The sequence below is a fragment of the Homo sapiens genome, chromosome 11, assembly GCF_000001405.40.
Source record: "Homo sapiens chromosome 11, GRCh38.p14 Primary Assembly".
Taxonomy (NCBI): domain Eukaryota; kingdom Metazoa; phylum Chordata; class Mammalia; order Primates; family Hominidae; genus Homo; species Homo sapiens.
Genome location: NC_000011.10, coordinates 80,709,256 through 80,737,209, shown reverse-complemented (window position 1 = coordinate 80,737,209; position 27,954 = coordinate 80,709,256). Strand labels below are relative to the sequence as shown.

General features: G+C 35.6%; 1 long non-coding RNA gene across 1 annotated transcript; it reads right to left on the bottom strand.

Moving 5' to 3' along the window:
• Window positions 1-10: 10 nt before the first annotated feature.
• Window positions 11-27,954, bottom strand: LOC105369409 (uncharacterized). The gene is made up of 3 exons (XR_001748502.2): window positions 27,874-27,954; window positions 8,801-8,849; window positions 11-95 (listed from the first exon to the last, which is right to left on the bottom strand). It is a non-coding gene; the product is annotated as an uncharacterized LOC105369409 (long non-coding RNA).

Genomic DNA, 27,954 nt, shown 5'->3' with positions numbered 1-27,954 from the left:
TGGATTCCCTCTTTCATATCACCAGGCCCAGGTGGTTTGAGGTACTAGAAGGTTCTGGTCTGAGTTGGAAGAACATCTGCCTTGTATTACCCTGGCTTCAAAAGATATTCAAGGGGTCAGATGTCAGAGAAAAAGCATGAGTTATGAGGCCTGTGTGACAAACCTATAACTCTAAGAACTAAGATAGAGAACTAACGATAATCATGTTCTGAAAGTATGAGACAAGATTTGTGGGAGATAAAAATATGACCAGCTTAGGAAGTCTTAAAATAATTAGGACACTGGCATTTTTTATTCTACCCCCAACTTATCCCCCATAGAGCAGGTTCATCCATAAAAGTCTGTGATCCGTATTATAAATCACTTGTTTTTTATATATATCCCAATGCTTTTTTCAAGAAAATGGTTTGCTTTTTGGTTCGCAAATAATGTTAAACTTACAGAAAATGTGTAAAAAAAAAAAAAAGGTAGCACAAAAAGCAGTCAATACCCTTTACCCAGGCTAAGCTATTGTCAACATGTTACTATAATTGATTTATAACTTCTGTATACTTTCTGGACTTTCTGGACATTTATAGATAAATCATACAAATTATGGACCTTTAACCCTAATGATATCAATATAGTTTTCTAAGAATAAGAAGATTCTCTTAAATAATGACAATACAGTTATTAACTTCTATAAATTTAATAATGATAACAATATTCTTATTTACTTTCTATAGTCCCCTTTTTTCAAATGGTCCAAGGTCAGCTTTGATAGTGTTTTTTCCCCATCAATACAATTTTCAGTCTTGAGTTGGATATTACATTTAGCTATCACGCCTCCTTACCTCTCTTTCAATACCTTTCTTTTAATAGAGGGGAGGATACTCCCCTCTATTAAATAGAGTGATTCACTATTTGTTATTTATCTAATGTTTTCTCATGATTAGATTCAGGTTATGTGATGTTTTGTCCTTCTCAGGGTATCATGTCTAGAGGCGTGTAATGTCTAAATTCTCATTAGTCATATTAATTTTGACTACCTATTCAAGGTATTTTCCAGTTTCCCCCATCGTATGATTGCTGTTTTCTTCCTTTGCAACTAATAAATAGCTGGTGAGGACATTCCTTAGGATCATAAAAATACCCTGTTTATGATAATTTTCACCTAGATTTAGCATCCTTTGAGGATTCTTGCCTGATACAGTTTTTTTTTTCTCCCAGTGATGAGTGTAAAATGGTGATTTTGAAATGCTAGCACTTTATCCATATACATTAGTTGGCACTCAGCTTTCTACCGTAAGCAAAAGTCTTCCCTTTTCTTTTATGTGTCTACCATCTATCTTATTTTTGTATCTATCTATTTAAATGTATTTGAACTTAAGTGCCCTCTCCCTCTAGTCCATATTATATTATTCTTATATCAAAATGCTGACTTATTTTTGAAAAAGGAAAAAGCTTATTTTTTTTTTAAAAAAGAGCTAGTCAATTTGTAATCTAATTTATACATTAATTTGTTAATTAGCTCATTATTATGGTAATTAATGTGCAGTTTATGCCATGAAGTGACTTTGTGCTATAGATTGTGCTTTCAAGGAGCTCACATTCTAGGGAAATACATAAGTATTCTAGAAAATAATTTACCATCACCTTGTGTTTTTATTAAAGATCAATTAAAATACATGGCTTTTAGACTATTGTGTCTGACTTAATAGGAAAATATTGATATTTCTATATGGGTTGAAGATCGTATCCGTAATTTTCATAGATAAATAGAAACATTGCAATCAAACTCATCCTTCTCCACGATGACGAGGGAAAAAATGCTCACTGATGTCTTTCTGTATCTTTCTTAAACTATACAGTCATGCACTGTATAACAATGTTTTGGTCAACTATAAGCCACATGTATGATAGTAGTACCATAAGATTATAACACTGTATTTTTACTGTAACTTTTCTATGTCTAGATGCACAAATACTTACCACTGTGTTACAGTTGCCTACAATATTCAATACAGTAACATGCTGTAAATGTTTATAGCCTAGGAGCAATAGGCCAGACCATATAACCTATCTGTGTAGTAGGCTATACTATCTAAGTTTGTGTAAGTGCACTCTATGAGGTTTGCAACAATGATGAAATTCCCTAATGACACCTTGCTTAGACTATATCCCATCATTGTGCTATAGCCCATCGTTCTGAATACATGACTGTATTCAGAAAGAAGAAAGCTCCTAAATAAGATACATGGATGATAAAGCAGCTGCGTGTTAGTAGAATTTATCTTGATAATTTACACGATAGAAATTCTCTTTATGAAAGGGGTAAATGAGTTAAGAATCGGACACATACATTTTATAGACACTATTTCTAAAACGTTGAAACTGGGCATCTCTGCATTTTTATAGCTGTGACCTTGACTAGTGCTGCCTTCCCATCTTCCTGGTTATCTAATGGCTTAGAACATTGGCGTAGTAGTGTAGAGTTTTGGAATTTGGGATCAGAACTAACATAGACTGAGCAATTCTGAAATGCTAGACTTCACTATGATTTCTTCTGCAACTATGTGAGATAGACATTTGTACCTATTACAGAGATGAGGAATCCAAGGTTCAGAGAAAGAAGTGACTTGGCAAAGGTTACAGAATTAGTAATTGACTTTACCCAGGACAGACTCAGTTCCTGCAAGAACGCTGACTTTTCTTCACTACAGAGCTGTATGAGATTTGGTATATAAATCCATGGTAACTAGATATTAACTCTTTTGCACCTGTCTTGCCAAGACTCCAGGCATATCATCAGAGAAGAGCCTATAGATGAAGACTATCAAGGGCCACCTGTCCCAATTCCAGAGACAAGCCTAACCCAAGGCTTACACATCAGTGATCAGTGTGTATTGCACGTTATGCTTTCAAACTTCTTTCACATTCATCATTTAATTTGATCAGCAATGACTTTTATTAAAAAGAAAATTGTTTTATTAAATAGTTAACTTGATTTGCTTTCATTAAACTAATAGACAAGAGGAGAGCACAGAGGATAATATAAAACTCTACCAGGCTAAGGCCCTGGCTGGTTGACTCATTCTGTTGCTTTTGATCTACTACTTTTTGAGCTCCCCCAAAGCAATCATATTAAGCTGTGCTGTGTGTGATGCCTTGAGTCTCTCAGCTGCTGTAGCCAACCAGGTGCCGCCTGCCACTTGATAATTGGTCCACTGTCTGCACATGGGGCTTGACAGATCCAGCCTCATAATACGGTAGCACTTAATTTCAATGAAAAAACAAACTGGCAGCCAGTTTAGACATGCAAGGGCTGGTCTCTCTTTGGTAGCAGCTGCTTGATAGAGCCTGTCAGGAGGTAGATGGCATTGGCATTTGGGAGTGAAGTCACCTTCTGGAGAAGTGGCTGTGTTTTCTCCATATGAGGCCATGAAATACTGGCATGTAGAAATGGTTTACAGAAACTACTTTATCTTTATGCATATGATATTTGTGATATAGGAAACATTTATTTTACCTTCATTGGAAAAGGAAAATAAAGTAAAAGAAAAAAATAGAAAAATTAAAAGAGGGTGTGAATACTTTCTGTGGTTATGTTGTTATTTTGAATATGTTACTTACATACCAAATGCCATGAAATCTGTTTAAAAATGTTCATTTGACAGCCATTTGGTTTTAAGATGGTACATGTTATTAACAACAACAAAAAGCAGCAATGTCATAGCAGAAGTTTGGCTAAGTGTTCTAACCCGTACTCATTGATAAGTGGGTGCGCTGTAGTCCGGGCCTTAGGGGACAACACTCTTCAGAGGCTAGATTCAACCCTGAGGATCCAGAAACATGGTCAGTATATCCAGTGATAATTATGTTCATGAATATTTGAGTCACAGAAACCAAGTTTATTTCTTATAAAATAAATAATGTGGTTAACCGGCTATACATATATCCACACAGGGCTAAAACTGTAAAGTGTCCAGAATTCATACCAGCTAGTCAGAGCAATGACAGCTCCTCCAAATATTGCTTAAGATGCAACACCATTTTTTTATTTGATTTTTAAGTTTCCTTTTGGTAGTTCTTGGCAGAACACTTTCGTGACATTTCTTCCAATGGGGTACGGTGGTAGTCTATTACATCCACTGACTGTGGAGTCAGAAAATATCTAAATTCTAATTCCTATTCTGCCAGTTATTAGTTGTTTCACTCCAAGCAAGTAATTCCAACTACTTGAACTTTAGTTTCTGGAGGACTCGAATGGAAATAATATTTTAGGTATTTTCAAAGCTGTGCAGATAATGTATGTAAAACATCTACTACAGATCCTAGCACATAACAGGTATTCAATAAATGATGGCTATCCTTATCACCCCTATCATCATCATCATCTTAAAAGCTTTAGTCTAATTTTAGACATATCTTCGTTAGATTTTTAGATTCTACCTTCCTATTCTAATTTGGGAGACATTCTATCCCTTAAGGCAACTTCTGCTAATCTAAAGCATTATATATAGACTTTACAAACCTAACTCTCAGAGGGAAATGCATCACCTAGTTATAGGAAACCTTAATGTAATTAGACACACATATATCGGCCTATGTAAGGAGAGACAGAGAGAGAGATAGAAACAGAGTCTTATAATGGGAACTTATGCTGTTTATATTGACATTCCTTTATAGTAGATCAAATGTGACCAGAATCTAGGCATTCATTCACTTTGGAAAGAGTAGAATAACTGCTGTTTATGTACACTCCTACCTGCTATACATGCTACCTCATTTTAATCTTCACAATAGCCCTAAAAGATTATTTCAGTCTTACAAATGTAAAAATGAGAATAAGCAAAGTTAATTAAATCTGTAACTTCATACAATTAGAGTATATTAAAACTGGGATTCAAACCCTAGAAAAGTTGCATTGTAATGCTTATTCTGTTGATGATCTCTTCGAAAACACAACCATGAAGCTTCGAGGTGCATAGTTAATAAAGGGTCCTCATTTTTAACAATAGAGTCCAAAGAGGCTTCATTTCAGTTTGATATCAAGATATGTTGAAACGTTGCATAAGTTCCCATGTCACCTCTGTGAAATAGAATACTATTTGTCTGTATTATGGATTTGGATCTGAGGGCCAGCTCCACAACCCTTACAATGTAAGCTCTACTGAGAGATTGGCGAAACTAATAGCCTTGAAAATGTTCATTATATTACTAACCAACTAGTGGCAACAACGAAACAGGAAATACAATTCTTGTCAAATAACCATTGAATATGACTTTGTTGTAAAAGAATTGATGTTTCCGTTAACATAATGACAACTCATCCTATGCTTTATATCAACTGTTCTTTATAACGAAGAGCCAGAATTGCAGTGTATCTCTTTATTTGTTTGTTCCCTGACAAACCAGTAATATTTTACAAGTAGGAATTTTCTTTTCAGATCTTAAAATGAAAGACGATTTTATGAATATAGCACCATTTTAATAATAACTCTAGACTCTTAAGTGAATAGTTTACTTTCCCAAATAGAACAGTTTATACTTATTAAATGTGTGATCTAAAGAAAACATGGCATTTCCCTCTGAGACAATTAAAAATGCTATTTCTATGGTCATACCCAAGTATAAGCATATCTAGACCAATGACATATAAAATCACTTAATGTTTTTGATGTGCAAGGCACTGTCCTAGGGACTGCAGATTCAAAATATGAATAAAAGATTGTGTCTGATATTAAATAAATCATACTGCAGTGGGAATAAAAATTAATTACAGTATAATATAGTAATTGATATGCCAAAGATAGCTTAAGCTATAGTGAAATATATAGAGGAAATCATGAGTTTGGAATTAGATATTTTGGTGTGAGTTCTTTTGAAATAACCAAGTGTATTAAAAAAAACGGCCGTTGACTATAAAACACAGGAATAAGCAATACTTTCATTAAGACATTTTGGGGAGTGTTATTTATATCAAATTGAGAAGGTTTTTAGAAAGAAATAGTTTAATTGGAGTAGCATCTAGTATTTGTTGAACACTTACTGTCCGTTAAGGACTGTGCCAAGTGCTTATTGCACATGATATTAAGTCATTGTAGCAGCCCTGTGGAGGGAGTGTTTTTGCTGTTTGGGTACAGGAATATTAATGTTTCATAGCAAATAAATAGAGAAGCTGAGATTTCAACACATACCTGCCTGAATTTGAAGTCTGGCCTTTAAACAAGGTGTGCCAATGCACAACTTCAGATAGAGGTAATGGTTCTGGATGGGAGGTTTGGAGGCTAAGAACAGGTTCGCTAAATTAGGGCTTCATGTGACTGCTTAGGATTCCTGCAAACATTGACTTTGAAGCAGCATCATCACATCATATTCAAACTTTGCAACTTGCTTACTGTGTGACCTTGCCTACCTTATTCATTGTCTCTGAGCATCATGGTTTTATCTATAAAAGAATGATAATGGCTGGGCACAGTGGCTCACACCTATAATCTCAGCACTTTGGGAGGCTGAGGCGGATGGATCATTTGAGGTCAGGAGTTCAAGACCAGCCTGGCCAAAATGGTGAAACCCCATCTCTACTAAAAATACAAAAATTAGCCAGGCATGGTGGTGTGCACCTGTAATCCCAGCTACTTGGGAGGGTGAGGCAGGAGAATTGCTTGATCCTGGGAGGCGGAGGTTGCAGTCAGCCAAGATCGCACCACTGCACTCCAGCCTGGATGATAGAGTGAGACTGTGTCTCAGGAAAAAAAAAAAAAAGAAGAAGAATGATAACAGCATACACTTTATAAGAACACTGGGTGGTTTAAAGTAAAATGTGTATCAAAGCACCTATCCTGAGCTTGGTACATAGAGTTGATCTGTAGATGTTTGCTTCTTTCTAAGTGCCGTTTCCTGAAGATAATTCAGAAAAAGAGCTCTCTGCCTACTTCAGTGACTATGCCAAGGGTTTTAGAGCAGAGCATCTCAAATTCAGGAATCCCTTGAGAATTTTGTTAAATGCAAATTCCAATTCAATAGGTTTTGGATGGGGCCTGAGACTTTGCTTGTCTAATGAGATCCCAGGAGATAGTTATGCTGGTCTTCTATGACCACATTTTCATCAACAAGGTTTGTATTGTTTATCTTTTGTGCTGTTATTAAGTACCTCCAGTTCCAAGTCAATTTCTTCCTCCTTGCTTTTATACCAAACAAAAAACAGCTGTTTTCAGAATCACAGGTGGTGGTGATATTGGACACCTTCCCAACACACTGAATGCTTATTATTTAAAAAAAAAAATTGAACAGGAGAAAAAACCTATATAAACAATTACAGTTACACTAGTGAGCATGCCTCTACTGCTTTAGAGTTTACAGTGTGCAATCCCAGAATATTATAGCAGATATTCTTTGAAAGTCTACTATGTCTAAGGCAGTGAGGGAACAGAATCTCATGATGCTCATAAATTTGCAGGACAGAAGAACAGGAAATTTAGTGACAACGGGATTATTTAATAGCATCTATAGTAGTCGTATAGTCAAAATCATACTACTAATCAATTAGTAGGCTTATTAATCAATGATTAGGCTACTAATCAATTGACCTTTAGTTCACGGAAAGGGAGATTACTTCATTAAATCAACCAAATCTAATCACATTATTCTTTAAAAGCACAGAATTGTCTTTAACTGGTAGCAGAAGAGGAAATCAGAGAGATCCAAAGAATGAAAAATACTTGCTATTGTGGGTTTGAAGGTGAAGAGAGCCATGTGAGAAAGCAGCCATTCACAGTATCTTTTAAAAGATTGTATTGATATGACTCAGCTCAGGATTGAGGCACTCTACCAGGAGAGGATAGATAATATGCTATCTACCTATACTGTGCCTAATAAATCTTACAGCATCATCACTCCCTTCATCCTGTCAGTATCATTATTTAACAAAGATCTATAGTGGAAGTATGTTCAAAATCATACAGTAACATAGAGGTGGACATTTGTGTCTCCTGCAGAGGTAAGAATGAGGTGAGGGAAGACTTTCCAGAGGATATTATATCCTCCCAAGCATAACCATCATGATTATCTTTGTCATTGTCATGCATTGTCACCATCCTTACAATCATCAAATAGCATTATTTGACAACTTACTGCTTACCAGGTACTGTGCCAGGCAATGATATGCGTGATCCCAAACAATTCCCATAACCTCATCATGACTTTAGTACTGTTATTATCCCCATTCTATAGACAAGAAAATGATGCTTACCAAAGTAAAAGAGTTTGCTTAGTGTTAAACAGCAGGTCCTTAATTCAAACCCAGCACTTACCAAACAGCCTATGATCTTAATCATGATGCCACTACTACCTCATTTCATTTGATTCAAGATAATTGATCATAACAAGTTTTATAGATATGGCTGGAATGTTGTTTCCATTTTACAATTGAAGACCCTGAGGTTGATATACATTATTTTCCCAAGTAATTGTGTAAAATGTGAGAGCCATACTCAAAGGTTTCTAACTTCAAGTTTTACATTTTTCTATCACATTTTGTAGATCCTCAAATAAAAGTAAGATAGGCAAGTTATGAAGTCCATATACACATGCATTTATATTTGACATATGCATGCCAGAGAAACAGATCCCTTCATTTCACAGCCCACAGGTCTATAAATATTATTCTGCTCATTTCAAGTCTTTGAGTTAGTAATAGCATGGTCTGATTTTTATCTTTGGTTCCATTTTCCCTTTGAGCTTTATTTTTATTTCTCCTGCTTTTCTTGATTTTGGGGAAAGATTTTTTAACATTATTAACTCTACAGCTTTTACTCACCCTTTGAAGAGGTCCTACTGAGTAATGATCTTCTTTCACCTTCTGAATGCTGGAGAAGAAATTTTTATAAATATTATTGGCTGGAAGGGATGTTTATCTTTAGCTCAGGAAAGCATTATCACCTGTACCTCTTAGTTCTTTTAACTTTCTTTCCTCACTCTTTCTACTTCTTTGCATTGTCTTTCTTCTCACCTTTTCCTGTCTCTTTTTTTTTCTTTCCTCCTCACCATCGTCCCTTCTTTCTCCCTGACCTCTCTTCCTCTCTTGAATTTAGCAGGTAAACAGTGTATTCTCATTTAAAATTTCACAGTTGGTTTTCTGCATTTCTAAATAGTGTTGTGTAATGAACTGGGCTTTGCAGTCCAAACATAACCAGCTAATATTTTATCTTTACCTTTTGTTGACTTTGTAATCCTAGGCAAATTGAAGTCTCTTAGACTTAATTTGCCCTTTTAAAAAATGGAGGTAATAATACCTTTTCCATAATACAGATACAAATCTAATATTGCCTGAGAGAAGGTACATAATGGAAAACTCTCTTCCAGTTAAAGAAAATATTTTAAAACTGGGGCCAGGCATGGTGTTAGGCATTCCTTTTTGTGTTTGTCTCCATGAATTGGTATGGCTCAATCTTGCATTAGATTGTAAAATTCCTATTGGCAGAGACTGCTTCTCAGTCATATTTTGTCCCAGTTGCCCAACACAATATGTGATAGATGCTCAGTAAGTAGGATGTTTGTTAAATGGAGCCAAAAGTGAGGCCAGATCAAGCCGAGGATGCAGACTTTACCATCAGACAGCCTGGGTGCTCTCGTTTCACTTTCACCCCCAGAGCAGCCTCTGCTACAAGGAAAGCATCCAGGTTGGTCCCTCTGCTGGTGAGAGATTGTTGGCAGCATTTCCCTCTAAATTGGAGAGTAGAAGAAAAGACTGCTCGACCAGCTGTCATCAACAACTTAGAAAACTTAAATGTTTAGGCAATTATAAGTTTCCCTTGGTGTTCTCTAATGTTCTTTTCAAAGATACTATTTTTTTAATCAACTGCACAAAAGCCTCACAAAAATAGCACAGTGCTGTACTCCAGCCCACAAAGATGCAGAAGAACATGGTTATGCATTTCCACTCTGGAAACTTCTACATTGCTTTTGAGGCACTGCTGCCCACTCCTGACATGCTGATGCACCCAGGGTCTCTGCCCTGTGTTCCCAGAGTCTTGCTGACTCTACATTCTCTCCTTGAGCAAACAACAGTCATTCCATCTGACACCTCACAAAACTCTACACTTCTGATCTGGCTGTCCAAATTTACCCTACCTACTCATCACCTTTTAAATATTTTACAAATGTCTGACAGGCGCCTGAGTTCATCACAGGAATAAAGTTTATATTACCCATCTAAGCTCGTTCTCTTTCTGTATTTCCTACCTTAGAGAGTAGCGTAAGCAGCCACTTAATTCTCACAACAGTCATATGAGAAGATATTATTATCTTTGTTTTGCTCAGTAGAAACCTAAAACTTGAAGACATCAGTTAGATGTAAAGCAAAAGAGCCTGCCTTCAATCCCAGATCATCCTACTCCAAAACTGTGTCTCTTCCAGTAAGCTTTACTAGAAAGGGAAGAACAGAGAAGTAGAAGGAAAAAAAATTTGTTCATCAGTGGAGCAATTAAGATCCCCTAGCTATTGCTTCTAGTATCACTCAAATGAACCTATGTCTTTTCCTGGATCACCCACCCTGCTAAATAAATAGCATAAATTTAATGATATAATGAGATTGAAAATAATTGAAGTTATTTTATTTTATTCAATCACATTACATACCTTTTGAGATTACATCTGCAAGTACTCTCTGCTTCAGCCATTGCTGAAACAATTCCTTATTAATAGAAAATAATTTCATACTTCTAGCATGGTATAATCAAAACTAATAGAAAGAGGAAGTGACAAATTGACCTTGTACTCAAATAAGTACTAATTTGAGAACTTCCTATGAGCAAAACACCATTCTTGCCTTACATGCAAGGCATAGATAAAATAGCAAAGAGATTTCAATATTATTTATAAAGATAAGGCATTTTAAAAGTACATTGAACTGCTATTATCCTCTTTTTGTCATTGTCTAGATCATGAATGATGTTAAGGTTAGATGATATAGAGTCAGCCCAACATGGTACACTTAAAGGGAAGGGGGAAAATGTTAGGAGGATTTATAGGGCTTTGTTTGTGTTGCTAAGGGGTTTGTCAACTGTAAGAGACTATCTTGCCTTTTTGAGGTGGTGATTAATTTTTTGAAGACTTCTCTATTATCTAGGATTGCTATAATATTCATTATTTAAACTATTAAGTATACCTATCTTCATAAACTTTGTATTGAGAGTCTGATGGAAATAATTATTCAAAAATCCAAATTGACTTTATGTAATGCAGAAAGTAATGGGCAATATTTGCTCTGCATAATCTGCCATAGGCAAAAAGGTGCCTAGTAAAGGGAGAGGAGCTGCAAGACACTCAGATGGTTCTTCCTACAGACAAAACCATGAACGAGATCTCCATTGCCAGAAAGTTTTCTGCAGCTTTGAAGGTTCAAAAACATAGATCAATGGAAAATGTATGGGATTGAAAATCAGGTAGATCAGGGTTTGGACTTCATTCTGTACCCCTTTCTAATTAGTTACTTTGGGCAAGTATAATCATCTTTATGCTTAAGTTTCTACATTTTAAAAATAACATAAAACTTTATCAGTGACAGAGTTGTTGATGTTTAAATACTTGTTGTTGCTATTGTTAAGACCTTACCAAGTTCAGTGCTTCATACATGGAAGAAACTTAAGAAACTTAATATGTGGAAGAAACATAACTATAGCTCTTATGTTGCTATTTGTCTGTCAAATTCACACTGGCCAAGCTTGAGAGATTACTATATAAAGCAGTCAAGGTATTAAATAGGGGCATATCCCAATCATGTAAACAAAATTTATTGTCTTTTATGCAAAATGTTTTCCTCCCCAATGTAGAGATATAAGCCAGGTTAGCAAACATATATAAATTATTAAGCATTAAAACAAAGCAAGACAGACATTGAAGTCCAGTTCCTAGGTATTTACTCAGGAGAAATGAAAATATGTGTCCACACAAAGACTTGTGCTCAAATTTTCATGACAGATGTATTCACATTAGCCAAGCCAAAAAATACAAATGTCTATGAACTGAGGCATAGAATTTATAAATAAATTTGGTATATCTATACAATAGAATAATATTCATTGAAAAGAAACTAACTATTGATATACACAAAGCATGGCTATAACTCAAAACATCACGCTAAATGAAAGAGACCACACATAAAACTTTATGATTTCGTTTATATGAAGTTCCAGAAAAGGAAAAGCTGCATTGACAGAAATGATGCCAATGGTTATCAGGGCCAGGGGTGGAATGGGAATATATTGACTGCAGAGAAACATAAGGGAAGGTTTGGGGTATTGGAAATACATATTAATATTCTCTATTATGACTACCATTACAGTACTATCTACACTTGTTAACATTTATCAAATTGGACACTTAAATCATTGAATGTTGTTGTTTATAAAGCTTATCTTAATAAAGTTAATGTAAAAAAAAAGAATAAAAATTTTAAGTGACTTTTTAAAGTCAAGCTCAAAGGTATTTTATTTCCTATTTTTCTAGTGACCAGATTGTTCTAATATGAGCAGATGTGGCCAAAACACAGAATCTCTCTGACATCATATCTCATGCCAGACTGGCCTTCTAGTGCCTACACATTATTGCCCTAATTTGACTGATGAGGAAACTAAAACTTGATGAGGCTATGTAGCTGAAATGTAGAAGAGCTGGCTGGACTGCAATCCCAGTTCCTCTCACTCCAAAACCTGTCTCTTCCAATAAACTCTACCAGAGAAGAAAGGACAGGAAGAAAAAGATGAAAAGTGCTATAACAAGAAATACACACACACACACACACACACACACGCACACACATACACACACGTGGAATGCTGTAGGGATAACTTACAAAACCCTATTTGACCCCTAATATATTCCTTCTGTAACATTAGCTGATCTACAAGTAGAATTTCTTTTGCCTAAGTTGGTAATTAATGATGTTGGCAAACCCTTTCTCCTGTTTTTCCCAGAAACACAGCCAAGCTACATTTCCCAATGTCCCTTATGGTTATATTGGTCATATGACTGAATTATAGCTAATCAGAAGTGATACATACAACTTATAGGCATGAACATAAAACCCTTCCACATGTTCCTCTGTGAGTTTTGCTCCTTTCAACTTGGGAAAAGAGATGATCTCAAGGGTAACCTCGGGGACCACAAACTCAAGATGCCAGAGCTGTCATAGTCTTGGTTCAAGACTGGCTGTGTGGAGAAGAGCTTCTCCCTGCAAAACAAAACTCACACAAACACTACCACCAACTAATTCCTGTCAAACTAGGGCCTGTCATTAATATGAGCAATAAACAAACTTCTATTGTGTTGAGCTAACCACATTTAATTAGATCTATTTGTCACCATAATCTAGCCTACCCTGACTAATATAAATAGGTTAGAGGCAGTCTGCGTCCTAGTATTAACAGAAGAAAACCTTAAGCAAGTTAAGTTTGATAAAATTTAATGGATCAGGGAACAATTCACAAACCAGGCAGCCCTCAGAACCTAAACAGGTTCAGAGAACTCTGGTCTGCAACGTGGTCAGACAATATTTATGGATAGGAAATGGAAATGAGGTACAGAAAATGAAAGTGAGGTACAGAGATAGCTCGATTGATTATATTTCAGCGTTTGCCTTATTGGAACATAGTTTGAACAGTTGGCCGCCTGCAATTGACTGAAGTTCAACTGCTGTGGTTGGCTGACCCTCAGCTGTTTGTTATAAAAGTATGCTCCTAATTTAGGCTTTCAGTTTATGCACTAAGTTAGGTTTCAGTTTGTTATGTCAGGACTAGAGTATGGAGCATCCTCAGGCCAAATTTAGTTTGATATAACACTAGCATCATAGCAGGCTGAGTCTTTTAATTAAGCCCTTGCCAAATCTTGGATTGTATTATTTCAGTTTCAAATTATGGCCCACTCTGAACATTCCATTCATAGTGAAGGAGATAGTTTGCCCTAAATCCTAGAAGTATCTGGATTTTGGCACTCATCCATGTAGAATTAGCAGCCCCTGACCCAGGATTGTCTTACTAATTTTGTGCAAATAAATTATTTCAAGGAAGAGTAGAAGAACCCTGATAAAGACTTATTCTTAAATTAAGTCTGTTAACGCTCTATCTCCTAGAAAATCAAGTCAATTCAACGTTCTTAAATGTGACTGCCTCTAGTAGCAGGCCTCTTCCTCAAAAGGAGCATATGTAATATGAGAGGATTGGACTGCAGAGGGACACTAAGCTCCTCTGAGACAATGCTCACATCACCCAGATTCAATTTTTCTTTCCTTAGACACTGTCCAGATACGCATTGCAAACATTGGTTTTCCTCTCTCTGCATTTTTCTCAGCTGCTGTTGCTGACAACCTATTTTCTCTTAACATATTTTTCTTCTTTAGCTCAGCTGATATCAATGAGTCAAGTCTTGTTCTGGCTTGGGAACTATTCATTCTCTTTGAAGAGACTCTTCATATTTCTAAACCCATCCATTATATGTTGATTGTATCAGTCACACATTCTGTGTTCTCTGGAGACATTCAGACATTATTCAGCCAATGATTCATGCCAGCTCACCAGTATATAGATTAAAACATGTATACACACAACAAGAACTTAAAAAACAAAAGCCTCACCTGATTCAGTCTGTGTTACAGAAGTAATCAGCAAATGATTTGCTTATGTTTTCCTTTTGTTAGATAGTGTAATATAAAAGAAAAAGCCAGTTAGATCTAGGTTCAAAGACTTGCACAAAACCTACTGGGGATGTGCTACTTGAATCAATTTGTTTGGACTCTCTTACCTATAAAATAAGAAAATTAAAACCATATGTTTTGGGTAATTATTAAATGTGCTAATTTCCTCTTTTCTCAGTTCAACAGAGGATAGGCCACATTGAGTTTCCCATCCCTGTGAGTACATTACATTCTGTACTCTAGGTATTAGGTTGGTGCAAAAGTAAAAGCAGTTTTTGCCAAACTTATATTCATTTGTAAGGCATTTCTAGATGGTTCTTAAGTATCAGATAAAATCTCTGATGAAATGACCTATTAAAATCCCTTACAAATTTGAGAGCCTGATGGGCTTTTGATAAATTTCACAGAAGTAGGCCAAGTATGAGAGCAACCTGCAATGTTGATCTTGCTAGAGTTTTCAGATTGTGGGTGACATTGAAATGACATGCCTATAACTAAAGAGCCAATGGGCGAGGGCCATGATTCATCATGGCCTGTCAAATCCACAGTGCAAACAAAACTAATTCTTTTCTTTTCTTTTCTTTTCTTTTGAGATGGAGTCTCGCTCTGTCGCCCAGGCTGGAGTGCAGTGGCGCAATCTCGGCTCCCTGCAAGCTCCGCCTCCCGGGTTCACGCCATTCTCCTGCCTCAGTCTCCCGAGTAGCTGGGACTACAGGCGCCCGCCACCACGCCTGGCTAATTTTTTGTATTTTTAGAAGAGACGGGAGTCTCACCATATTCACCAGGATGGTCTTGATCTCCTGACCTCGTGATCCGCCCACCTCGGCCTCCCAAAGTGCTGGGATTACAGGCTTGAGCCACCGTGGTTGCTGCATTTAACATTGGAATACTGGAACCCTCCTTACAGAATTAAAGGCTTTCTGTGGAAGAGGGAGTCATTGAGACTATATTAATTCAATCTTACAACAAGCTGTAATTTTAATTCCCATTGAAGAACGTGTTTTACAGAATATCTGATAATAAATCATACTAAGTACACAGAAAGCTTTCTAATCCTGGAAGTATATAAATAGGACCTGGATGACAGTTTCTTAGGGTAAAAATGGAGACGTCACGGTTAAAAGATAGGACATCACCTTGTGGCAAGGCTGTTCTAAAACTAATTGTGTGACCTTGTGAAAGTCACTTAACCACATTGACTTTTAGTTTTATTATCAATAAGTCACATTCATAATCCTTACCACAGAAGATTGTTATAAGGAATAGAAATATCTATAAGGTACCTAGGCAATTTGTGTAATATAGCAGGCAGTAAAATATGGTGGCAGTAGTTATTATTAAAAAAATATTTCGGCCGGGCGTGGTGGCTCACGCCTGTAATCCCAGCACTTTGGGAGGCCGAGGTGGGCGGATCATGAGGTCAGAAGATTGAGACCATCCTGGCCAACATAGTGAAACCCCGTCTCTACTAAAAATACAAAAATTAGCTGGGCGCGGTGGTGCGTGCCTGTAATCCCAGCTACTCGGGGGCTGAGGCAGGAGAATCGCTTGAACCCAGGAGGCGGAGGTTGCAGTGAGCCGAGATCATGCCACTGCACTCCAGCCTGGAGACAGAGCGAGACTGTGTCTCAAAACAAAACAAAACAAAATTCCTGCACCGAGGTGTGTCTTCAGAAAATCACTACCTCTGAGATCCTCTTGATTGAAATGATGGTAATGTCATCTGCTCTGTGGTGTTTTCGTGTGCATCAAAAAGACAACACAAATGCAATTGCTTTGCAAACAACTGTAAACATTCTGTAAACCTAAACAAGTTTTGCATTATACGTGTCATTATTATTATCATTATTGTTGCTTTCAATTCTAAATTTGTAATTTTGGATAAAAAAACGAAGGAATCACTGATTCACATGGGAAATGATTATTTCCTCCAAGATTAGAGTCTCCTTTCATTAAAAAAGCAAACAAAATATTGAGCCAAATCGTAAACCAGCCAAAAATCTTGGCGACATCTCTCACTGCAGTTTTCAAGGAGTAATCTATACTCTAATCTTCATGAGCAGGTTAGGTCACTTCTGCTCACCTGCTGAAAAGTCTCCACTTAATAACCCCATCATATTTCACTTGTGATACTTATCGAATCAGTCTAAATATCTTTCCCCTCCTCCTTTAACATCAATGCTTAGCAAATACATATAATAGCCCTTAACCAGTGTAGCTATTCTGGTATTTTAGTCTTTGGCAGTTTATGTTTTTTTCAATTAACATGTGTTTGTAACTTCCCTAATGTCTTATTTCCTGCTTAACAGAATCTTTGTTTCCTTATTTAGAGATGATTTTCAATATTCTTCATGCAGTTTCATTGAAGCCTTAGGGGATGCTATCATGAATATATTAGCAGTAAAGCAGTTTTATTTCCTATGGCGTCAAATGTATACTCTATTCCCCAACATTTTAAAAAGTGAATATTATAAAGCAGAACAATAAGAAAAGTCAATTGATTTTTGTAAGACTCAATCTTAATACATGGGCCCTAATGTATTAATTAACATGAGAGCAACTTATCAAATGAGGGTTAAAAAGAGAAATTTTAAATACCCTTGCCCAGTCTGTGGAGTCCTAATTCAATTAATTGCTCTGCAGATTTTAACCGACCAGTAGTCATCTTTGACATTTTTGAGCCCACAAGCTATAAACAAATTTAAAAAACCCAAAAAGCTATATGAAAAATTAAAAAACAAAAACAAGAAGAACAGTCCCTTGAGGTTAATATTCATTTAGGATATTGTGAAATATGAAGTGTTCTCAACTGAGAATTCACTTCTCTGTAAAAAAACAAAACAAAACATAACAAAAAAACAAAGAAGAAAGAGGCAAGCTCTCCAGAGAAACAGGTTAAACCAAGGCTGAGTTGAAATCTTCCTTTTTCTCCAAAAGAAGGGTCTCATTGATGACCTCCTCATGGCTTGTGTGTCCCTTCATTACTAGAAGCCTAAGATGTGAAGGGTAAATATTCCCTCAGGCAAGGAATGGAAACAGAACAGAAAGCCATAGACACTTGCCATTGTCTCTCTACACAAACTGTTTTGTTAAGCATACCTTACTCTGTCAAGCAGGGGTGTCCAATTGTTTGGCTTCTCTGGACCACACCAGAAGAATAAGAATTGCCTTGGGCCACACATAAAATACACTAACACTAATGATAGCTGATGAGCTTAAAAAAATTGCAAAATAAAATCTCATAATGTTTTAAGAAAGTTTATGAATTTTTGTTGGGCTGCATTCAAAGCTGTCCTGGGCCATAAGTGGCCATGTGCCACAGGTTGGACAAGCTTGCTGTAGGGCTTTTCTGCCTCATTGTCTAGAATAATGCATGACTGCAGCCTGTCAGTTTACCATCACCCATCCCTCCACCCATTCTGTCATCATGTATTCACTGAGAATCTACTGTTTGACAGGCACTGTAGGTAATGGGGATATAGAGATCCAGAAAGGATAGTACCTGTTTTAAAGGGTATACTTTGAGATATCTCAAGGGTAACATTTTTTTTGCATATGCTCTTACAGAGACCAAACAACAAATATGTGGTTAGGCGTACTATGTTGTAAAAAATGTAAGAGTGGGTAACAAGAGAAGTGGCTGAACATGTGTATATAGAATTAATTATAAGATGCTTGGGCCAGACCTAGTCAAGCAGGTTTTCATATGGCTCAGTTTTGCAAATATTTTGACATACCAATTGTTTAAAGGAAGCTAAATACACAACATTTCCAAGCTTACTGAACAATGGGAATTTAGTTTGTTTTAAGTTTACTTTTGTTTATCATGGAGCAGTGACGAGGAATTATTTGGAAATTAAATTGCAGATGATAGGAAGCCATTGGGTGATTAGAAACTAGGGTAGATCATGCACAGATTTAAATTTTAGCAAAATACTCTTACTTCAATGGCAGAATAATTGTTATAAATAAGAGCAGTTAGAGAGGAGAGTAGTTAAAGTATCTAAACATCAGTCCAAACAAAGAACAAGAAAATTCTGCACTAAGGTAGTGATAGTTGAAAGAAAAGAGAATACATAGAGTGTTTATTGATTTTCAGAACTTCTGGTAAGGTTGAACTATATAGGAACTAAGAGGACCAGAAAGAAAATAGAGGAAAACAATAATGTGTGCACTTGGACACATTAAATTTGATGAGCCTTGGGTATGAATGTTCAGCAGGACATACTGGCATTCTGAAGAGGTGTAGGTAGAAGTGAAAATGATGGTAGTAGATGTTATTTTCTGGACTTAGAAAGGCAAGAGCCTAAACTACTTTGTGATTTTTGCAGAGTATTTAGGACTCTGATTAAGGAGTCTACCTGTTATACATTGGGCATTTATGACATAGTGTCTCTAGCTGTTCCCTTGTACAGGTGCTTTATCAAACTCACCTCCCATTCCACATGTGCAAGAGGGGAAAAAGAGCTCATACATCACTTAACCATTCACTCCAAAAAGCAGAATAAAAGGCTAGGTGCAATGCAAAAATCATTTTATAAGGTATAAAGCATACTATCTCCATATGTTCATGTTCTACTAAAGTTTTTCTTATAAGACGATCTTGAAAACTTTTTCTACATAGAGTAGGCCCTCTGTATTCACAGATTCCATATCTGTGGGTTTAATGAACCATGGATCAAAAATATTTAGAAAATTTGCCTCTGTACTGAACATGTATGATTACATCCTGTTAAGTATTATAGGTAACCTAGAGATGATTTACAGTATAGGGGAAGATGTACATAGGTTATATGCAAATACTCTGCCATTTTATATCAAGGACATGGAACATCTGTGGATTTGAGTGTTCACGGGAGATCCTGAACCCAACTGCCCACTAATACAGAGAAACAAATGTACTATAAAGTCTAGGGAAGAAACAAGAACAAGAAAAATGTTTCTACAGGCAAAGGATCCTTGGAGACCTTTTTTTCAGTGACATATGAAACTTGTTTTATAAACATCATATTTTGCTATGAATTCAGATTTCAAACAAGTGTTTTATGTTAACTAAAAAGATAAATTTTTCCTTAAAGTTTCGCCTGGCAAATGAGTTAAGTAAAACCGAGCATCAGAACGTAACAGGAATATTTGACTTTTAATTTATCTTCCTTGCTTTTATTTTTCAGTGAATGCCTCCAACTGCAATTTATGGTGGTGATGAAGGAAGAGGTGAGGATATGATTTCTAGCACAGGGGCAAGTTGGATTTGTAGAAATAGGAGCTCCAAGCTGCCAATATATTTTTGCAGTAGTGGAATGAGGTCTATTTATATTTTAGTGTTGCTACCAACTATCGGTATGACGATAGTAGAGTTCCCTCATTTCTCTAACTCTTACTCCCATTATCTGTAAAATATTAGACTACAAAGGCCCCTTCAGCTTTATGCTCATATAATTTAAACACAGCATATTTTCTTTAAGGCTTCTATAAGTATCCCTGAAAGTTGGTTTAGAAAGAAATGTGATCATACTTAAAGGGAACATACTTAAATGTGAACATACTTAAAGGGAAGAAATCTTTCTAATTCCTAACATTTCTCATTCAGAACACAAGACCCTACTGTACTTGCATCTATGGACCGCACCTTTTGTCTTAATAGTATTAATCTGAAGTAGTACTGACATTCAAAATATCCATCCCAGCAGAGCCATTTGCATTTTTTCTTAAACTTCCATTAGCATATTTCTGGTTATTATGATCGTTGAATTGTACCTTTCTAAAGCTGGAGTATAGACATTATTGCCAAGTTCCTACCTCAGTTTGTTTCACCTCCATCATTAATTATAATTCTAATTAAATCAAAACAAACTGACTTACTATATAAATTTTAATTCTTATCTGAACATTTTCTTGGTTAAGTCTTTGATAGCATCAGAAACATACTGTGACATTAAAAATTACTGCAGACCCCTTCTAATAGTTCCCTTTTTTGTTGTCTGTCCTCTATTGACTGCATACTGTATTATTTATGGCAAAAGGAAGGCTCACAGTGGAATTCTTGATTGTACTGTACCAATGTATAAGGTCAGTTGAACATCTGAATGTTTCTAAAATCCTTTGAAATTATGTCTGCCACATCAAAGGAATGTTGCTTGAGAAAAATGATAGTACCTATCAATAAGCACCAACATTCAGTCCCCTTTTAAAGATTTTACTTTAAATTTTCTAAGCAAAATTTGGTCTGCTTTTATAATACCAGAAAATAATCGCTGAGTCAGAAGAGCAGGTGGAGCAGGAAAACACTCTGGTTGTGGGGTGGGGGTAAGAAAATATCTAATAAGGTATGATTGGCATTATTACGGAAAAGGGGTAAAAGTTGGAGAATTGTGGGGGTGGATGTTGAGAGAAATGACCATTCTCTTTTCCCAAGAACTTTGGCCAACTGGGTAATAAATGAATCACAGCTGGTGGCTGGAAGGAATGTTCTCATATGTATTTTACTGAGAGAGTTCTGTTTATCTGAAAGAGCATATATTATTGAAAACGTTATTTTTATACCATCTACAGCCCCTACACACATACATCAAAGCTAAGAGGGAAAAAAAGGAGTTAGTCTTAATCTTCAGAAAAGACAGACAAAATAAGAAACAAAATTAAGTTGAAAAAATAACTGTCTCTCAGATGACAATACTTTCCTGTTTTCTCAAATGCATTTTTATTTGGGGTTAGTGCAATTAATTCATGCCCTTTGGTCTGAAAATACTCCCACACAAACTGAATTCCTGAGTGACGCAGAACTGTATCAAGTATTTAGTCTAAATTCATTCACTACTTAAATATCATCTAGCAATAGGTGTTGTAGACATGTTAATGGGTATTGGACCCATTATAGATTTTGTAAGCAAGTCTTATTCTGAGTTTAATTCCATTTTATTACCTAACTTTCTGTGATTCATGTATTTCTTGATCTTAATTGGTTGTGAGTTGTTTGAGGAAGGGGTCTTTTCCTTCACTGGTCCTGTGTCTCCAAGATTAACCAGTGTCTGGCACCTGGGGTGGACCTAATAAGTGTCAGTGGTATTCATGCACACTAAGAATATGGTACACATCATCTGTATTTTTACCTCTTTCTGTCGTACATAGAAGTAATTTATTTTCCTGGTATTGGTGACCAAGAATCTGTAAGCTACAAAAATTTTCCCTCAAGAAAGTGAAAGGAAGAAAAAAATGCTGAGCACTTACTGTCTGTTAGATTATGCCAGGGGTTATCAAATCTATTTTTATATTTAAATTATCGCAGCAACCTTGGCAGGGAGGTATTATCACTCTAGTTAACAAATGAGGAAAAATGAATTCTCAGAAAGATGGATTAGCTTACCCTTGACCTTTAAATTCTTAAGTGGCAGAATCAAGATATATGTCACATGCAGTTTTCAGACTATGTGGCAACATAGCCATAGAAACCATCATGAGTGTGTGAGTGTGTGTGTGTGAGAGAGAGAGAGTGTGTGTGTATATATGTGGTGTGTCTAGAGACAGAGAAAGAGATAGAGTTAGAGAGAGCAGCTATCCTTTATGAAGGTCCTTGAAGTGATTTTGTTCCACTAATGGTCGGTCAACCAGTGCATCCTGTACTGATACTGATCCATCATGCTAGAAGAGAAATGAGGCCATCATCATGTCTTTCCAAATAGCCCTGAAGCAGTCTTCCTGTGCTCAACTTCTGGAATACTAGGGAGGACACAATCAGATGCTACCTAGCAGTTTAGACAGTCCCATAAATTCATGTCTTTTTAAGATGTTAAGTTCAGGGGTACCTGTACAGGTTTGTTATATAGGTAAATTTGTGTCATGAAGATTAGTTGTACAGATTATTTCGTCACCCAGGAATTAAGCCTAGTATCCGTTAGTTGTTTTTCCTGATCCTCTCCCTCCACCCTCCGATTGGCCCCATTGTCTGTTGTCCCCCTCTATGGGTCCATGTGTTCTCATCATTTAGCTCCACTTATAAGTGAGAACATGGGGTACTTAGTTTTCTGTTCCTGTTAACTATTCGTCCGTTTGCTAAGGATAGCATCTCACACCAGTCAGAATGGCTATTATTAAAAAGTCAAAAAATAACTGGTGCTAGTGAAGTTGTGGAGAAAAAGGAACACTTATACACTGTTGGTGGGCACATACATTAGTTCAACCATTGTGGAAAATGGTGTGGCAGTTCCTCAAAGACCTAAAAACAAAAATACCATTTGACCCAACAATCCCATTGCTGGGTATATACTGAAAGGAATACAAATCATTCTATCATAAAGACACATGCATGCATATGTTTATTGTAGCATTATCCACAATAGCAAAGACAGGAATCAATCTGAATGCCCATTAATGGTAGACTGCAGGTTGATTATTCTTCACTCAAAACTTCACTCAGACACATTGTGGTATCTTCATTTAAGAGGTTCACTCAAAATAGAATGTGTCCTATTTCCCCTCCACATTGAAAAAGAAATGCCTGTTTATCCCTTAAAACGTCTCTTAAATATGATCTTCCCATGACACCCTCCCTAGCATTCTCATAGTGTTGGTCATTTCCTCAGCACTTTGTATTGGTCTCTATTGTAGCATTTATTACATTCACTGAGAATATTTACTTGTTTACCCCTCTTCTACAAGACATTCTGGCATGATGTTTGAAAATATTCTTTCTACTGGGTAATATTTTCTGAAAGAAAGTGAGGACTGGTTAGGAACTCAACTTGATAAGGAATGGTCAGTGATCAGCATTTTATTAACTTTTTCCTTAGGCATGACTAACCCTTATGTAAGTCTCTATCTTGGTCTTAGGAAAAAAAAAGAAAAATTAGTATGAAAACTTCTAATCTCATTCTTACTACTAGAAAGAAAAGTTAAGGCTTTTATGCTTATTTCTTCTTCCATGTCTGGAAGAATGAAGGAGCTGAAATAAAAAGTGTTAATATTAAGAAAATGAAAGAAAGAGAGGTTAGAATGGAATTGAATTCCAATCCTGACATTACCATTTAATGAAACTGGGTCTCTATAGAGCATACATAAAAATGAAAATAAAATAATAGTGGGACAAAATAATATGTATCTCACTGGATAATCAACCTTTACATAACCTAATATATTTAAAAGGCACTGACTTCAAAATTTGAGTTGAATGAAATTTTACTTTTACTTTTACCTTTTCTTTGATTCACCCTTTCATTCTTTGGCTCAGTTTCTCTGATTCAGCCATTTTCTTCTCCTTTAAAACACAACTGAAGGATCACCTCATTCCAAAAGTCATTCCTAGCTGAACTAATAGAGTTGGTGGGCGTAGATGGCAGAGGGATGGTCTTCTCTGTACAGCTATATGCCCTAGGATTCCTTCTGAAATATCGTCTTGTGCAGTCCTAATAGCTTATTATTTCTTTTCTCTAAAATCTATCTGATTGGAAGAACTGTATCCTAAACTACCACAGTTCCTAGAGCAAGGTAATTATTGAATCAATATATGTTAGACATAACTAAATTCTGAGCCCCCACAATGCATTTTATCTTTATAGAGACACTTATGAACCACCTCAAATTTAACTTCTTTTGAGTATTTTGTTTCTCCCACAGTGTTTCCTAAATTACCCAACACAAGGTTTATATACTATGGCTGATCAGACAATGTTTACTGATGGAAAGAAATTTAGGGCGCTATAATCAAATGAGTCACTTCTTCAAACTACCAAAACAGATTGTATTCTTAACCATTTTATTCCATATGTCTTGATTTTTTTTCATTTTACAAATAGTAATAGAAGGCTTCAAAGTGTTTGAATTTTGAATTGTAATAAAGCAAGAATCTGAAGATATATACTCCTGGCCCTCCTCTACGCAATTCAACACCACAAGCATTTACTGCACAGTTACAGGATGCAACTGTCTACATCCATAATTAATTATACTTTTAAACAATTTGAAGATGCTTAATCAAATGACAAACTAAGTTATTAGTACAGAAACCATTTTTTTCTCCCAAGAGGATCACCTTTACCAAATTCTACTAGGTTTTATCATGACTAGCATGTCATTTTTTTCATATAAATCACATGCAGTAATAACCATCTATAATCACAATTATTCACATTTTTATCCTGCTTAGTTGTTAGCAGAGCATTTTCACATGTGTTCAATCTTTTGAAGGAGAGGGATTCCTTTAGTTCCATTTAACAGATAAGGCAAATGAGTCTGAGGTACAGTTCTTTACAGAAAATTACTATGAATTTAGAGAGCAGTGTCACGTTGGAGATCTTTCTTTAAATAATCTTGCTGAGATCATAATCTACTTTAACAATAAGTGAGTATCTTACTGTTTCTTCAACAGTAATGGGAGCATAACTACACAATTTTGATATATGTGTCCAATTTTTCTATGTTAGAGGCTTTCTTTTTAAATATCATTTTATTTTCAATGACTTTTTCCTGTTGAAGATTGACGTATGTGAACGATTAATTTTGTATCAATTACTGTCTAATATCGTTATTGAAAATAACCATTGTTTAAATTATAATTATTATCTAAATAAAATACTCATTTATTCCACACACAGTTGGCTAAAATTTTGCTGATGCAGTGCAGTTGCAGAAATGAAAATCCAGGGTTGTCCCTTCAAGGAAGTAAATTAATGCCTCAATAGCAAGTCATTATTTCATTTATCATGACCATCTCTCATTACTTAATAGTAGCTCCTGTTGCACTGTGTGAGGAAGAATTATGAGGCTGTGTTTAGTCTTAATAAGAAAGGAGGTTATAATCAACTAGTAATGTCTGCAGTGGGAAAAGCAGGAGAAATAATGGAACATAGGTTAAAAAAAATGCCTGGTATAGTGGATAATAATTCCTTGGATTTGTTGGTAATTTTGTTTTGGTTTTCACAATAAAAACGTGCATATTTAAAATTTTCTAAGTAATATGTGCTCATTGAACAAGAATATAAAATACTAACTATGTTTAGGAATAAAATGGAAACATATTCCTCTGCCACATTTCACTCTGAGATGTCTACCATTCATGTTTGGTGATTATCCTTGTATAGTTTATGTCTATAAACATAAACATGCAAATAATATTCATACACTTCAGATTAACATAGATTATATCACACACATATACTTATCTTGGATATAGATAGTTTTTATTTTCTGGAAATTGTTTTGTAAGTTTTTTGGTTTGTTTGCTGTTCCAATGCTAACCTTTTCTCTTCTTCCACCATCCCTACTTTACTTGGCCCATGTAAGCAATGCTGATATTTATCTGTGCTGATGGAATTACACCAATACATATCTACAGATATATTTAGATGTAAATATATAGATACAAATATATTATATAAATATATAAATATATTTTTATATATGGGTATATGTATAGTTTTTATCATTACTTGTTTAAAAACAAACTTTTTTTACATAGTTCACTACATATCAACATTCTTTATTTAACAAAACAACTTGAAAATACCTTCCAGTTAACGGCTGAGCTATATTCTTTAAAGGCTTCTTGATACAGTTTACAAAGCGCTTTGAAATCTAGTTTTTAATTTACCTTCAACAGACTAGTGAGGTAGTCAAACTAGATACTGTTGTTTCTTTCTTTTTTTTTAATTCTTATAATGAATAAACTATAGTTTGGGGGGATTAAGTGACTTGTCCAGGTGAAACAAATATTAGCTGATACGAAACAAAGTTGTATCCAGGTCACCCTTTCCCAGGCCCATTGCCTTTCCCATTCCTATAGTAATTGCCACAGTTAACTTGAGGACGCTCAAGGGAAAGAAGGAAAGGTTCTGCATGAGAAACTTTTCAGGGAACTTATCCAAAGGTCACTGTCAGGATGATCTATGTGGGAAGTACTGTTCTATTCATATTACAGAATAAGACTCTGAGATCAAAGTCTATAGAACATGCTCAACTTTTCCTACAAAGGTAAAGGCAAGTACTAAGCCTACTGTGTGCCAAATCCTACATTCTTTTTATTATAATATATTAAATTTGGGTCTGAACATTACATGTCGTTTACAATAGTTACTTAAAAATAACCACCTAAGGCCAGCATTTTTATAATTATTTACCTTTTTACCTCCTTCTGGGAAATAAAGTTTTCAGAAACATAAATGCAGCAGAGATAGAGATTTTCTGAGTGATTGGCCCTTGGTGCCATAGAAACAATAATAGTACTATTGATGAGACAGAGCACCATCCATCCTCACATTGTAGTCACCTTGGATCTACACTGAATTAACAAGAAAATATTTGTGGTCCAGAATTAGTACTTCTACGACTAAAGATAGTACATTTTATCTGTGCTCTCCTGATTTTTAAAGACCAGGCTGAGTGAGACTGAGGCAAAATCCCTGGGCAACTGCAATAATATCATTTATTTACAGCATATGAATAATTTTTAAAAAGCCACATGTATTATATAATTCTATTCATTACATGTAAGCCATATACAATGATACAGATTTTCTGCACATAACCAATGTTACTATGTCAATTTTTCAAGGGCTTGTTAATAGGTGTGTATGTTCACGGGTATATGTGTGTAATACCGACAGACATTCTGGCTTTGTATTAGATGCCTGTGTTTTGTATTATGTAAAATTTATAAAATCCTAAAAAATAGTGGATGGGTGGTAAAAATAAAGGGCTGCTTCACCAAGAAAAAATGTTCTGAACCTTAGGCTATAGGTAACTTAACATATGCCGCTATAAATTATAGTCTGACCAATTTTTAAAATGAGATATTTTAGACCTATAAACAGCATAAAATGTGCTCTATTGTATTTATTGCTTACCATCAACAGAGTACCCAACCCCGTAAAAAACATAAAATTACAACAAACTGCCCAATTGTGTATAATAGAATGTGAAGCTGAGTACAAGTAGTTGTGCTAGGCATTATGTCTGTGTAAATAGGTCAACAATATAGTGTTCAAACTTTCTTCATTTTTTTCTTTACTATTTAAATATACAAGTCTACATCCACAAAAAGGGTAAAAGTGGTAGTATTTATGCATATACTATTTAAAACATTTATTACTCTGTTACTTACTGTATCTAAGGCATTAATCTAGGTGTTGCCACATGCATTATCTCATGTGATGACAATATTATCTTCATGAAGTGGTCATTATTATTATCAGATTACCAAAGAGTTAACTTACTCTTCCAATGACTTGTGGCAGAATTAGGATGCTGTATAACTCCATTTTCATACTACTATAAAGATATACCTGAGATGGGGT